At 46.7% G+C, this 14,429-nt stretch overlaps 2 protein-coding genes across 9 annotated transcripts in view, besides 9 other annotated features; one reads left to right on the forward strand and one right to left on the reverse strand.

Moving 5' to 3' along the window:
• SART3 (spliceosome associated factor 3, U4/U6 recycling protein) overlaps positions 1-2,077 on the reverse strand; it is a 38,960-nt gene extending 36,883 nt beyond the window's left edge. For both annotated transcript variants that reach the window (NM_014706.4, NM_001410983.1), the window contains exon 1: positions 1,747-2,077. In NM_014706.4, coding sequence (NP_055521.1) covers positions 1,747-2,058 — 312 coding nt within the window. In that variant the 5' untranslated portion in view covers positions 2,059-2,077. The remainder of the gene's footprint in view (positions 1-1,746) is intronic.
• Positions 2,156-2,215: an enhancer, noted in NCBI's record as "active region_6963". NCBI's record gives its function as "activates an Ori minimal core promoter by ATAC-STARR-seq in GM12878 lymphoblastoid cells {active_cell/tissue: GM12878}" and the evidence as "EXISTENCE:reporter gene assay evidence [ECO:0000049][PMID:35858748]".
• Positions 2,226-2,325: an enhancer, noted in NCBI's record as "active region_6964". NCBI's record gives its function as "activates an Ori minimal core promoter by ATAC-STARR-seq in GM12878 lymphoblastoid cells {active_cell/tissue: GM12878}" and the evidence as "EXISTENCE:reporter gene assay evidence [ECO:0000049][PMID:35858748]".
• ISCU (iron-sulfur cluster assembly enzyme) lies at positions 2,367-10,288 on the forward strand. Of its 7 annotated transcripts, NR_135127.1 has the most exons (7): positions 2,367-3,640; positions 4,964-5,059; positions 5,183-5,296; positions 6,225-6,335; positions 8,094-8,172; positions 8,562-8,661; positions 9,735-10,288. NR_135127.1 is itself a non-coding variant. In NM_014301.4 (6 exons), the coding sequence occupies exons 2-6, from the start codon at positions 5,021-5,023 to the stop codon at positions 9,818-9,820; spliced, it is 429 nt and encodes a 142-aa protein (NP_055116.1). In that variant the 5' UTR covers positions 2,367-3,640; positions 4,964-5,020; the 3' UTR covers positions 9,821-10,288. The 7 variants fall into 7 exon arrangements, 6 of the variants coding, with proteins under 6 accessions (NP_055116.1, NP_001288069.1, NP_001288070.1 ...); NM_014301.4 differs by lacking the exon at positions 8,562-8,661; NM_001301140.1 differs by lacking the exon at positions 4,964-5,059 and having other exon boundaries at positions 8,562-8,647.
• Positions 3,180-3,239: an enhancer, noted in NCBI's record as "active region_6965". NCBI's record gives its function as "activates an Ori minimal core promoter by ATAC-STARR-seq in GM12878 lymphoblastoid cells {active_cell/tissue: GM12878}" and the evidence as "EXISTENCE:reporter gene assay evidence [ECO:0000049][PMID:35858748]".
• Positions 3,310-3,389: an enhancer, noted in NCBI's record as "active region_6966". NCBI's record gives its function as "activates an Ori minimal core promoter by ATAC-STARR-seq in GM12878 lymphoblastoid cells {active_cell/tissue: GM12878}" and the evidence as "EXISTENCE:reporter gene assay evidence [ECO:0000049][PMID:35858748]".
• Positions 3,600-3,719: a silencer, noted in NCBI's record as "silent region_4828". NCBI's record gives its function as "represses an Ori minimal core promoter by ATAC-STARR-seq in GM12878 lymphoblastoid cells {active_cell/tissue: GM12878}" and the evidence as "EXISTENCE:reporter gene assay evidence [ECO:0000049][PMID:35858748]".
• Positions 3,920-3,989: an enhancer, noted in NCBI's record as "active region_6967". NCBI's record gives its function as "activates an Ori minimal core promoter by ATAC-STARR-seq in GM12878 lymphoblastoid cells {active_cell/tissue: GM12878}" and the evidence as "EXISTENCE:reporter gene assay evidence [ECO:0000049][PMID:35858748]".
• Positions 4,680-4,729: a silencer, noted in NCBI's record as "silent region_4829". NCBI's record gives its function as "represses an Ori minimal core promoter by ATAC-STARR-seq in GM12878 lymphoblastoid cells {active_cell/tissue: GM12878}" and the evidence as "EXISTENCE:reporter gene assay evidence [ECO:0000049][PMID:35858748]".
• Positions 7,371-7,420: an enhancer, noted in NCBI's record as "active region_6968". NCBI's record gives its function as "activates an Ori minimal core promoter by ATAC-STARR-seq in GM12878 lymphoblastoid cells {active_cell/tissue: GM12878}" and the evidence as "EXISTENCE:reporter gene assay evidence [ECO:0000049][PMID:35858748]".
• Positions 9,840-9,989: an enhancer, noted in NCBI's record as "active region_6969". NCBI's record gives its function as "activates an Ori minimal core promoter by ATAC-STARR-seq in GM12878 lymphoblastoid cells {active_cell/tissue: GM12878}" and the evidence as "EXISTENCE:reporter gene assay evidence [ECO:0000049][PMID:35858748]".

Consider the following 14,429-nt stretch of genomic DNA (forward strand, 5'->3'; position numbering starts at 1 on the left):
TCCTCTGACAATCAGATGTAATGGGTGGGACAAGCTATACCAATGGATGACATCACTATCTCATAACAAAAATATCAGTGCCAGAGAGAGTATTATAAGGAAACTGACACTCAGTAAGGTTTAATGAGTAAACTAGATTAGCAACTTCACATTCACTGAGTGATTTCACATCCAGTGTGGCATCTAGTCCACATTTTAAGTGTAAATCCCACTATGAATAACTTAAAGGAAATCATTTCATCATTTGTTCTGAACCTCTGTTTCTTCATCTGTAAAAAGAGAATGCGGGCCGGGCGTAGCGGCTCACACCTGTAATCTCAGCACTACGGGAGGCCAAGGTGGGTGGATCACCTGAGGTCAGGAATTCAAGAGCAGCCTGACCAACATGGTGAAACCCCGTCTCTACTAAAAATACAGAAATCAGCCGGGCGCAATGGTGCGTGCCTGGATCCCAGCTACTGGGGAGGCTGAGGCAGGAGAATCGCTTGAACCAGGGCGGCAGAGGTTGCAGTGACACGAGATGGTGCCATTGCACTCCAGTCTGGGTGACAGGGCGAGACTCTGTCTCAAAAAAAAAAAAAAAAAAAAAAAGAGAGAATGTGCTCCATCTCTTCTGTTTGCCCCCTCCAAAAAACACCCTACCCTCTCCTCCCTGCCCTGTGTCCCCGAGTATAGACCTCATGCACAGGTTTCCTGGCTCTCCAGCTTCCAGATGGGTCTGCCCAGCAGGAGGCACCAGCAGAAGTTTGGTGGGAGGAAGAAAGAGAGGTCAGGGTATTTCTTCCCCCACCTCAATCCTTGACAGGAAACTGGGGCTGCTTCCCTTGAACAAAGTTATCAGCAGGTCTCAGGTGCCCTCTCCACACAATTCAGATCACACCCTTCACCCCTTCCGGCCCAAAGATGGACACCAGGTTCTGGAGTTACCAGCTATGGGATACTAAACCTTCACTCCCGATTTCCCTACCCACACCTTTATTGAGTTTCTCTCAGATCATCCTAATTTAAATGTGCCACCTATTTCCTGCTGAGATCCTGGATTATACAGTAGATATCACCACCTCATAAGGTTACAAGTGAGAGACCATGTTATGACTAGATGCTAGGCACTGAGCTATAGTTACTGTTACAACAATTATATTATGCAGAAATTGTTGCTCCCAATCTGCAGATAAGGAAGTCGAGAGGGTGAGAGAAATTAAGAAATTCTTACAAGCACATACAAGAGTTGAACAGCTAGAACTGAGGCCTTAACCTCCAGAACCAGAAACCTTTCCATTTCTATTATCACCATCGCGGTCAATATTTTTCTTACCACAAGTTTCATCATCGCCGTCATTCCTACATAACAAAATAACACTCTCTTGCGAATGAGTTTATTTCTACTGTTGGACGTGTGGTTAAGAGTGGGAGTTCTGGAATGGGATCAAAGTACAAGGCCTGACTTGCAGGAAGTGTTATCTTGAGCAAGAAACTTTCCTCCACGAGCCTCAGTTTCCTCCAGTAAAATGGGGATAGATAACAGGGCTTCCTTCACAGGGTCGTGGCGAGGATTCAATGAGATAACGTTTGCAAGGCAATGGGCAGGCAGTAAGCACTCAAATCCGACAGGAGCTACTGTCACGAAAAGCGGGTTTGCAGCCTTGGCGGCTTTATCGCCGCCGAGGACTAGGGAGGCGGGCCAGGACATGGGGACCCGAGGACCTGAAAGACTGGAAGATGCCCGCTGCCCACCCCCGGGCCCACCTGCTCCTCCAGTCTCTCAATCTCCAGCTGGTTTTTCTCCTCCTCTTCGTCATATTCCCACTCGTACTCCCCGGGGGAGCTCTCCGCGGAGGAAGCCATGGCGTACTCATCCCCATCGCTCTCGCTCACGCCTTCCTCCTGCTGATCCCACGCTGGCCCCATGGTCTTGTATGTCGCAGCGGCCACAGCCCGCGATAACACCTTCCTCCTTGTCCTAGCCGCCTTAACCTCATCCTCCTCTCCGTCAGCCTTGGGCCCAGCCTTGGACTCAGCCTCGGGTTCTGAAGCCGAGGTTTCGGCCGCAGTCGCCATCTTGCGCTTCTAATGACTCTCGGGTCTTCCCGCGGCCGCCGAAGACCCGCTGAGGCAGAAGCTGCCCGCGGCGCGCGCCTTATCAAAAACCCGTTTTCTTGCCATTGAAAGAGAAACTGGGAACTTAGATAACAGGAAAATCTCCACATACACTAAATTCACATTATTTTATACCCTGTAAAAGCTCCCACCAGATATAAAAACTCATTATAATGGCATGCGTTCCGTCACAACTTCGGACAGAAGTTGGGTCTTTGGGCAGGAAGTGGAAGCCATAGAGGAAGTCATGGAGCGAGAGTGATGTCTGTAGTGAAGAATTTGGCGCCATCTTGAGAAGGTCAAAGTGATTCTTCGATTAAATGCCTTACTTATCGCCTAGTGTGACCTGGCGCTTGGGTTTACTCTCCCCAGCAACTGCGCCTCAAACGCAAAGAAAACTGCAGGTCCTCGGGGAAGGATCGATTTCACCATTCAAGAGAAAAATCCATTTCCCAGATTCCTCCCCTTTATGTAAACGTCTGGTACCTAGTAGACGTTAAATACACGTGAGTTTTCCGGTTTTATAAGATCACATACTGCAAACCAACAGTAAATTACATTAATACGCATTTCTTTAGAAATTCTTAATTGCTAGGCACTGACATATAAATTGAGTTTGCTGTTGTTTTAGAGAGAAAAATAGACATATTCATTTTTTTTCAATCAGGACATGGTATTCGTTTCCTTCTTAAGCTTCCCATTTTTGAGGTAGGAAAGTATTGGTGTGTGTCTCTATCTCTACCTTGCTCCCTCATTAGCAGGCTTAATGGGCAGGAATTATGTCTGTTTTGCTTTCCGTTGGATCCCCGGGTCTAGTAGAGCGCCTTGACACATAGTAGGTACTCGACACAGATGCTGGCTTCATGATGAAGCAATTGTCCTCGAATTAATACAAAAGGGAAGATTCAGACTCAGCGAGCCGGTACCATTCGTCTAGGGACACACAGCCAGGAAGGAACCGAACCAGGATTCTAACCCAGGATTACCCAAGTTCGAATTCTAATTGAACATAAGTCCTTAGCGACCTTGGACGGACTTACTAAACTGCCCTGAATCTCGGCTTCCTTAGCTGCAAAATAGGGTTAGGAAAAGTGGACTCGGTGCTCCTCTGCGCCGCATTCCCGCAGCGGGATTTGTGAAAGCGAACTTGAGCCCCACACTGCAGAAGCCCTGAGGTCCTGTCTCAACCAGAATCCAGCACCCAGGACAAGCCCTCCAGCGACTTCAGACCTTCCCGCTCCCGACCCCGCCCGCCCCCGAGAGGCGTGGTCAAGGCGGGGCCAGAAGGCGGACGCGTGCACGGAGCGGTAAAGCGCAGGCGCAAAGCTTCGGTGACGTCAGAGAGGCGCGCTCCCAGCTCGGAGCCGACTCGCAGACGCGCCCCGCCCCTCGGCGTCGCTCTGGACTGGCGCAGGCGCAAGCCGGCAAGATGGCGGCGGCTGGGGCTTTCCGTCTGAGGCGGGCGGCATCGGCTCTGCTGCTGCGGAGCCCCCGCCTGCCCGCCCGGGAGCTGTCGGCCCCGGCCCGACTCTATCACAAGAAGGTAGGGACAAAAGAGGGACGCGCGGAATGCCGACTCAGCGGAGGCCTGGGCTGGAGGGGCGGCCGCGGGGTTCTGCGCAGCTAGGACTGGGAGCTGTCCCCTCCCACGTCTTTGCCCTGACTCGCTTTCCCTTGCTGCGCAGTGAGGCTCACTGCAACTGATAAACAACAGTTACCGCTCATCGGGCGGCGACTTCCAGGGGGCCCCGCCGCTGGCCGCGACTTCGTGCGTCCCAATTTTAAATTCGCCAACAGCCCAGGAGGCAGGGTCCTGTTGGGACTTGTCTTTCTGAGTCCAGGGACAGACACACCCCCGGAGCGGGCTCCGGCTTCAGCCACTCCGCTGCCCTGGCCAGATGACCTTGGGCTAGTCACTGCGCCTCTCTGAACCTGTTTCCCCAGGTGTAAATGGGGGGCTCTCAGCTGTCCCTTACAAAGGATACTGTGCGTGGAGTCCTGGCATGGTTCCTGGCACATAGGCCCCAGCACGAGGAGACCGTTTCTGTTACTGCTTTAGGAGTGCATAGGGGAGTCAGGCTTGTAACCAACATGCGTAATGTTTTTGTTTTGTTTGGGGGGTTTTTTGGCGGGGAAGGAGGGATAGATTCATAGTCTGCAGCCCCTTGCTGTCTGGTGGCACAAAGTCCCCCAGACGTGAGACTCCCACTCGAGAAACAACTAAAGAATGCCATAAATCAACGTGGCACAAAAGGCCCCTACATTAGATACTATCCTGAGGTCCCTTTTACTTGGAGTCAAAATCCTTAGTCAGATGGGGGGAAAAGGGGACTGGAAGATCGGCGTGCTTACTACTAACCAGTAACCAAACCTCAAGGTTATTAAGGCCTTCTGTGTGCCAGTTCGAATGGATGTTTATTGTGATCTGGCTTCTGCCCTTTCTCCAAGGGCTTCTTCACTCCTCCCCCTCCCGGGGGTGTGTTTTGTTGAGGGTACACCCTGAAGAAACTTGGACTAGCAGCCTTTCAGCAGCCAGGGTGCGCTGCTGCACCAGGGTGATGACAGGCTGTGAAATACGGTAATGGCACTGTTTTTATTTTAAAAGACACATAAACGTACACATTCCATAGCATTGTTCCCTGTGTAACAGTCACCTTAAGGCTTCTAAGAAAGCTTTCCCTCCCTGGGCCATGGTTATTTTTAGAATTTTTAAATAGTAATCATCCTTTGAGGATGGATTTTATTTGAAAATAACAAAACTGCTGTTTGAGCCCAAGTCTGGTGATGTAGGTGGGTGAAAGTCAAGTATTTTTGTAAAAATCCTATGGAACTAAGACATGATTTCACTGATTTTTTTTTCTTCTAGGTATCTCAAATCTGTGAAGTATTGTAGAGGAGACACAAAAGGAATTGGGGGTCACAAATGGTTCTCATTGACATGAGTGTAGACCTTTCTACTCAGGTGAAATTTGGTATTTAGTGATTGCCTGCCAGGTTCAAGATGCTGACCGAGGAGCTTACCATCAAACCAGAGACCAGTACCAATAGAGAGTGAACATGATTTATCTTAACCCTCTCATTTTAGGTTGTTGATCATTATGAAAATCCTAGAAACGTGGGGTCCCTTGACAAGACATCTAAAAATGTTGGAACTGGACTGGTGGGGGCTCCAGCATGTGGTGACGTAATGAAATTACAGGTATGGCTAGTCTTTTTTAATAGTGATAACAATAATCCCTTTAAGTTTACAAAGCACTTGCGCATTTCACTTGGTCTCCATCTTTATTCCTGTGAGATCTCCAAGCATTTCACTTGGTCTCCATTCCTGTGAGATGGGATGAGTCCATGTTAGATATGACTGGAGCAGGGCCTCAATCGTAGCTCTCCTGCTAGGCTAGTGTACTATGCCAACTTTTTCCAAAATAGAAAAGTAATCTCATTTTTGTACTCACTGTATCAGTTTAAATTCTGACTTCAGCCAACTAAAGAGTTTTGTGAATTTTACTGATCAAAGGAAAATCCCAGTGAGCTAGCAGTCCCCAATGAAACAAGAAACACAGTAAATTAAACCTGTCCCCAGATTGGGGGAAACATGAAAATAGTGTCTAGTGCTTTGGGTAAACTGTAGTTGTAGCACCAATCTGCTGCTTCATGGTGAGTGGGCAGCTTGCCAGAGGTCTTCATACCTATCTTGGAATACAGAAACAAAACAGGAGGAAACCACTAAGTGTAATCTGCTGCCCAAGAAAAAAGTATTAACCAGAGACCTTTATTGTGGACTCTGTCAGTGTTTAAAGAGGCCAGATTGCCCCAGCAGCTGTGAGCAGACTTCCACAAATAGAAGTTCATAGCCAAAATGCAGGCCAGAGTCACAAAACAAAAGAATATTGGAGTGGAGGGACATATTTTTCAGCTGATCTTTGTCAGTTGGGCCTGGATAGTTGTCCCTGCATTTCACTTTTCATCACTGAGCTCTTTGAAACAAGGCAAAGTCAGTAATTAATGCCATCACTTAGTGTGGAAAGCAAGCCCAAAGCCCTTGGGGAAGGCCCTGGTGAACCTTCGTGAGTGCCAGGTTCCAGAGGGTGGTCCCAGGACTCACCACTTAACTCTTGTCTCTTTTCTAGATTCAAGTGGATGAAAAGGGGAAGATTGTGGATGCTAGGTTTAAAACATTTGGCTGTGGTTCCGCAATTGCCTCCAGCTCATTAGCCACTGAATGGGTGAAAGGAAAGACGGTAAGGTGGCTCACAAATCTAATGGGTCAAAAACAAGTAACCATGACTTTTTTTTAATATTCTAAATTTTTAAAATTTCTCCTATGCAGATGTTGATTATATTATCATTTCTTCAAATTGGGAATTATGGATCATTCTACTAGGTGTTGTTTGGGTTTTTTTCTTGTTGATCATTTTTATTTTTTTGTTTGTTTGGGTGTTAATTACATATAAAAAAGATCCTCACCTGTCCCTCTAACAAAATAGAATTTAAAAGAAATCTTTGGCTTTCTCTAAGGTTACCAGTGCTCTTATAATTTCTCAAGTCAGAGAGTTGTTATAAGGTAGTTATTTTCTTGTTTATTTCCTCTCATGTTTCAGGAAGGGTTCTAGGTGGCTTTCAAGAATTGGTGAAATAAACTAGCCTGTGTTAAAAGAGGGATTAAATAATCAAAAAGACAGCAAGGGTGGGGGCAAAGTGAACAACGAAATCAGAACAGTGATCCAGGTGGCTGATCGCAAGCCCTCTAAAGGCAGAGATAATAAAGAGCTAGAACTTCTTTTTCATCCCTTTGTCTCCCAAGTGTCTTTCCCTGGTAGCTGCAGAGGTCAAAGGTCCCAAACACAGTGAAGAGCTGGACTTTCTAAAATCCAGTTGCTGTCAAAACCTCTCAGAAAAGCCAACCAGCAAGGCACTCATCTTTGCTGCCCCAAGGGACCAGGTTCAGGGAGCTGAGTCACAGAGGAGCATGCTTGGAAGCTGGCCAGCTCCACAGCAGAGCAGTTTGCCAGGCCACGTGCCACCTGCTTCCTGTGGCTCACGGCCTTCTGGCTGGCAAGCCCCTGTGGGCCAGGAAGCTCAGACCTAACCTGCTGTGGCAGGAGGTAGCTCTGAAGTGATTTGTCAGGAACTGTCCTCAGGTGAAGGGAGAAATGAGACAAGGCACTTTTGCTCCCAGAACCTGGCCCTTAGGGGACTGTGAATTGTGATCAGAAAATGGGAGAGAGGACATTTCTTTAACCTTGAGATCTCCCATCTGAGTTTCAGGAGCAGAACCTGAATCAACCAAGAAGGGTTAGCAGAATTGGGAAACTGAATGATAGACATAGTCAAAGAGTCTGGCTGTTGGGAAATCTGGTTTTCTGTAAGGCAGTGGGGCACTGTTCTACATGGGCAAGGATCTGCCTGCCTCACATTATCCCCCAGGGCTGTCAACCAGACCCCAGGCATCCTCTTTAGTTGATCTGGAGGAGATGCTCCTATAGGCAAAGGGGACACCAAAGAGAGCATTCGGCCTGACTCGGCTGTGCCACTGCCACTGTGCTACTTACCTGAAATCTTCCCAACCTCTCTGATGCCATTCGGCACTTCTAGTCAAAAGGATTTAGGCTAACATTTGGTATGAGGACATCGGAGAAGCTGATATTCACAAAACCAGCATAGGAAATCACTACCTTTTAAGGAAGAGATTCCTGTTACAGGCCACAAGCAGATCCCTAAGAGACTTCTCACAGGTTCCACTCCTGACTTAGAGAAGTGTCTGGGCTGTCTTTGCTTACCCAAGCCAGGCAGTGCAGCTGTGTATACTTCATGCTTGAGAATCCCAGCTGCAGCTTTGATAAAGTGGGAGTCCTGAGAAGACCCTTAGCCGTTTGAGTTATTAAACAGAAATCATCCCCACCAACCCTGAGAGCCTCTTTGGCCTCCCTTTTTTATTGGCTGGCCCTCACAAGATAAAGTGTTGCTAAAACTGCCCATCTTTCCATTATGCCTCTCAGGTGGAGGAAGCCTTGACTATCAAAAACACAGATATCGCCAAGGAGCTCTGCCTTCCTCCCGTGAAACTGCACTGCTCCAGTAAGTCTCTGCTCTCCATACCAGTCAGCTGGGACATTTGGCAGTAATTTCAACTTGGTTTGCAACAGTCCTTTTAGATCATGGAGCCCACGTTTGTAACCCTCAGAATTAGAGCTCATGAGTCTGTCCTTATAACCTGCAGAGGGTTAGAGCCCCCATGGTCTCACATTCATCCCTAAGAGAATCATGCCAGAAGGAGGTATGCACCAGCCATCATACTGAGCACTTCATGGGCGTAATTTCTAAACCTCACAAATATCCTTGAGTGCACAGTAGATGTCATTACTTCCCTCTTATGGATGAGGAAGCTAAGGCTTGGGTTGAGACGCCCACATCACATGGCTAATAAGTGGAAGAGCCAGAATTTAAGCTCCAATCTTTGATTTCAGAATCTGTGCTGTTTCCAGCAGAGGAGAAAACTCAGCTTTCGCCATAATCCTGTTTCCTGTGTATTTCTTCACTTCCTGTCTGGATGGTATTCCTGTCGGGGTCTGCATCTGTATATATGGAACAACTAAGCCCAGTTGTACAATGTCCCCCTCCCTGCTATCCTAAAAAAAAGCCCAGATGCCTTAAGACTTGTACTTGGCTTTCCAGTTTGGTCTCTGTATTAAATCTAATGCTTTTTCCATCATTTCTTAACCTTCTCAGGGAAAGAAGGAATGAGAAACATTAGCCTTAATGCATCGATGGAGGTTTACTAACCAAATTAGTTAAAAATCAGCAGAGAGTCAGGCCTCTTGCCAAGGTAATACTCACAGCAGAAGAGCCAGGTGCCGGGGCAGACACACTAACTCATTCTTCAGGAAGCCTGGTCAGACCTAAGTTCTTTCCACTTGATCTGGAATTTTAAGTACCCATAAAGAAAGGTCATCACTTGTAAACATTTTCACATGGTTTCAGGAAATCCCCAGCCCTTTTATTAGGCCTTTTTAGGTACTGAAACCTTTAGCTGATGTTCTCTGTTATTTGCTTGCTTTCTGCTGTCATTCCAGCTCTCTCAGTTTTTATTTTCCCCATAGCCTCACTTTGAATATTGACTCCTAAATAAAAGTGGTCAAACTCTCGATCACTAGAGGGTGATGTGGCAAATGCCATCCCATCAACAGATTGACATGATCTTTTTTCCAAAGGGCATGTCAACTTTTTTATCATGACAAGATTTTGTCCAAAGCTAGACTTTGATGGGAGCAGGCAAGAAGTAACATTTCCTGTGTCCCTACTATGTGTCAGACATCTTCTGTAAGTCCCCACACTATCCTGGCAAGAAAAGCATGATTATCCCAGTTCTATAGAAGAGAAAGTAGGGTCAAAGAGGCTAAGGAACTAGCCTGGGATCACAGATTTTTAACCCTAGTCTGTCTCCAGGATCACCCGCAGGAGTAACTCAGCTCAGGAAGCAGCTGCTGACGTGCCCAGCAACTCCTCACCCCAGCTTTCTGGCTTGGTTACTCCATTAGTCCCCACCAGCACCACTTCCTCCCAGCTCTTAAAGATTCTATTCCCAAGTCCATTTCTTTCACATCTAGAAACTTAGGCTTCTTTCCTTCCGTTACTTCCAGTGCTGGCTGAAGATGCAATCAAGGCCGCCCTGGCTGATTACAAATTGAAACAAGAACCCAAAAAAGGAGAGGCAGAGAAGAAATGAGCCCTCCCTCGGCGAAGCCTCCAGCAGGCCACACCAGCTGTTTCCCACCTGCTGTGCAGTCACCTTAGATGTTCAGAAGCCGCTTCCTCTCCACTGAAGAGCTATGAGATACGCACAATACTTGCTGTTCACGTTATGACTCTCATGCAAGCAAAATACACAGTTTCATTGTTCTGAATCCTGTGGTTTCTTTCAGCCCACTTTTATCGCCTTAACCTAGTTAATGTATATTTTGAATTGTGTGTATGACCTCAGAACTGAAATTGATAATGAAGTTGCAAGTTTTGATAGCCCGTGAAGTGCATAAGTATCTAATTTTACCTGAATTGATTTGGGGGGAAATTACCAGTAGAATGCCTTGGTCTGAATATTTGATAGAACCAATTGTTGTACATAAAACAGATTGCGCATATATATATATGTATAAAAAATAATAAAATAATGGAAGATGATGGTGTTCTCTAGTAAGCCTTGTCTCTTGGGCCCATCATTCACCCTGAAGTGGTGCCCAAAGCCCCTTGGGGTTCCCAGAGGTTGGACCGCAGTGACATACACAGCTCTCCAAGCAAACAAAGACAAATATACGTAATATTTTTTGGAACAAGGATGAAAGGAGATGATTATCGCTTGTCATTGTTCTTTGTGTGATAGTAGTTGAAAGCTCAAAGTAAGTCTTGAAGATTCTTTCTGTAATTTCACTGGTTGCTCAAATCTAAAAAGCATTAGCTTGGCACCCTAAAGCGGTAGACCAGATACATGAAGAGCACCTCGGGAATGAGTTTAAAATGCGGATTTCTAGGCCCAAGTTTCTGACTTCTGTCTGGGCAGGTAATTCCAGAGCCCCTGACTTTTAAGAACCTCTTGGGTTTTTTGTGGTCGTAGATGAGCCAAACTTTAGGGAAGAAACTTCTGAATGCTGTGTTCTGCATAGATGTAGTATCTTAAGTGGTTCATTCTGAACTATCTGTACCTGCATAGTACACCTAAGGTTGTTTAAAAAACATTCATCCAGCCGGGCGCAGTGGCTCACACCTGTAATCCCAGCACTTTGGGAGGCCAAGGCGGGTGGATCACGAGGTCAAGAGTTCAAGACCAGCCTGGCCAAGGTAGTGAAACCCCATCTCTACTAAAATTACAAAAATTAGCCAGGCATGGCGGCACGCACCTGTAATCCCAGCTGCTCGGGAGGCTGAGGCAGGAGAATCACTTGACCTGGGAAGTGGAGGTAGCAGTGAGCCAAGATCACACCAGTGCACTCCAGCCTGGGAGACAGAGCAAGACTCCGTCTCAAAGCCAAACAAACAAACATTCATCCCTGGCTTGGGCATAAGTCTAAGCACGGGCCCTCCTACCCTGATGTCTCCCTATTTTTAGCTACCCATAGTCATGCAAATCTCAATAAAGGATGCCCTATCTTCTAGTGAAAATGGGTTATTGAAATATTGACTGCCATAGTCTCAAATGTTCAGCTTCAAAAGTAAGATGTGTTTGTTTTTTCTGGTGGTGGTTTTTTTGTTCAGGTATAGGCTGGCTGCCTCTTAAATATACCTCCCTTGTTTTTTTTGTTGTTTTTTGTTTTTTTGTTTTAATGCTCTGGGTTCTGGTGGAGGGCACAGAACTTCAAAGACTGTTCCTTCTGTAGTCTGTGAAGGCAGCCACAGACCAGGGCCTTTATAGGAATCTCAAATTAGAACCCTGGGTAGAACCATGTAAAATTGTCCTGTGTGGCATGTTCTGCAATTTAATTCACAGTCCCTCTAGACTGAGCTTGTCTCTCCCTTCTTTATTACATGTGGCACCACCACAATTCCCCACCACTTTTCTTTGTGATTTTTTTAATTTAAATGAGACATTTCTGTCCCAGTGAACATCCTCAGAGTTGAACATCAGGAGGAGCTTATAAACAAAGCAATATTCCCAGAAGAGCCCAAGTCTCTAAACGTGGTTGTACTGCTAAAACAAATGGATATTTTTTAAATTCACATTAAAGACACTCTTTCCCCAAACAAATCTAGTTTGAGCCACATGAGGGCATCATGTGCCCTTCAGTGAACTCAAGTCTAGGGGTTTTTGCAGCCTCCAAATAGGTCTTAGCATCTCTAAATAAACCTGTCCATGGAAAACCTCCACAGATAAGTTAAAATGGTCTGTCAAGCACCTGTGCTCTGTTCCAGGCCCTTACATCTGTAATCCTGTTAATTCTCATGACAGCTGCCTGCAGTGGGCATTGATTCAAACAAGGACACTGGCTCAAGAAGCCAACTGACCCTCAGGCCAACTGGCTTGATCTGAGTGACCCAAAGCCCATTCTTCTGCCTCACCCCTCCTGGCAGAACACACCAGGGATTCAAACTGCACATCAGAGGCTCACCTGTGCCTTGAACATTCAATGAAGAAGCTGAACCAACACAGGTTGAGCCTGATGCATTCTCTTGGCCAACTGGCTGCCAAGCACCATGGCCCTCACGCCAACCCTGGCTCCCACCAGGAGCCTAATTAAATCCTGATGCCAAGTTAAATCCAATGCTCTGGAGGTGGGGCCTGGGCACTGGCATCACCTGATGGGCTGGGTGGGTTTATGGGCAGATGGATGGATGGGGAAGCAGAGGCTCCGAGAGGTGAAATGACTTGCCTCAAGGCACACAGCTAGGAAGTGGTAGAATTGAGCTCTGGCTGAGGTCTTCTGCCCACCTCCCACCCTCTCCTGAGTGCCACACTACAGCTATGACCACATCTCGGATGTAACCTTTCCTAAGTGTGATTCCTGGACCAGGGCCACCCGGGACCACATCCAAATGCACAGTTCTAGAACCTCACATTAAGCATTGTCTTGTAAAAACTACTTGGCCCTAGGATGAATTTTCTTAAAAAGACAAACAAATGAGGCACACTTCTCGATACTTCAGGCCCTTTGAACTTGAGGCAAGAGTGCAGACCTTGTGTCTATCTTCACGACAGAAGAGAAGACTTCTAGGTCCCACCAAGTTTTGGTGGTGTTAGAGGGCCCCTACAGATGAGTTCCAGCCCCAACCAAAGATGGACGTGGAGCACATCCCCTGCCAATGGCTCTTGGAGGCCTGTCTGCTTGCTTTCCCCACCCCCCGAGATGACATCAGCCAGCCCCTCAAAAGGCCACCTCCCCAGAGAAGATCATCTCCACCCAGGGAGCAAGCAGCAGGGCAGAGTGGAGTGAGCTTGGAGTGTTGAATCAAATGCTGGCTACCGCTGTGTGACCCTGAGCGAAAGGCTCAACCTCCCCAAGCCTCAGTTTATTCATCTGCAAAATGGGAAAGATAATAGTACCTACCTGATCAGGTAGACCTGACGATTAAATGAGATAATACATGGAAAGCACATGGCACACAGAGTTCACTGTTGGCCAGGTACAGTGGCCCATGCCTATAACCCCAGCACTTTAGGAGGCCAAGGCAGGAGGATTGCTTGAGCCCAGCAGTTAGAGACCAGCCTGTGAGGCAGGAGAGGTAGTCAAGGAAGTGACCATGTCCTCGAGATGCAGCATCCGTGATGACTGTACAGTCAACACAATAAGCCTCAGCATTCACATTGTAATTGAGCAAAGCTCAAGCAAAGCTATCTTCAGTAGGGACTTTCCCCTCTAGAGAGTGTGCGCACTTTGATTTAGCTGTCCTCAAACTGACCCTTTGCTCATTAAAAGAGTAAAAAACACACCCCTAGGTGGAGATTTAAGATGCGAATGAGACATGCAATGTATGAACAAGCACGTACAGCTACTGTGCGTGGGCACCGAAAGGACCACCCAGAACATGCTTACTAGTAACACCTCTCTCAACCCCTTATGAATAATGATGTAAAACCCCCACAAAGGGAGTCTCCCAGCAATAATCAATGCTGTCCTTAAGAGCAGCCTGCCCTAAATCCTGTCTCTCTCAGGGTGTCCTGTCCTTTCTGTACCTAACTTTCAAAATGTTCTTTTTCCTCTGCAATAAATTACTCTATGCTGCACCTCCCCTTTGCTGTGTGTCTCTTGTCTATATTCTTTTAAACTAAGAAGGCAAGAACTGAGATCTTGCAACAATTGTCAATACTTGGGCAAGATGGCAAGACCCCATCTCTACAAAAAATAAAAAAACTAGCTGGCTGTGGTGTCGTGCACCTGTCGTGCACACTACAGTATCATGCACCTGTAGTCTCTGCTACTTGGGATACTGAGGTGGGAGGATCCCTTGAGCCCAGGAGTTCAAGGATGCAGTGAGCTGTGATGGCACCACTGTCCTCTAACCTGGGTGAGAGAGTGAGACCCTGTCTCTTAAAAAAAAAAAAAAAAAAAAGAGGAAGGAGAAGAAGAAAGAAAGAAAAAGGAAAAAAAAATAGTTCATTGCTGTTATGGTGGTTCTCATTATTACAGGTAACACTTCAGCCCTGACTACATACTAGGCACTGTTGCTGGGTGTTTTATATAGATCAGCTCATTTGCCTCACAAAAATCCTAAAGTACTATCAATATCCCATTTTACAGATAGAGAAACTAAAAGGTAAAATGATGTGTCAGCAAATGGTAAGATCAAGATTCTAGCTCAGAGCTGTTTGATCTAGAGCCCAAGCCCCTGCATGCTATGACTGTACTTTC

The sequence above is a fragment of the Homo sapiens genome, chromosome 12, assembly GCF_000001405.40.
Source record: "Homo sapiens chromosome 12, GRCh38.p14 Primary Assembly".
NCBI classification, from domain to species: domain Eukaryota; kingdom Metazoa; phylum Chordata; class Mammalia; order Primates; family Hominidae; genus Homo; species Homo sapiens.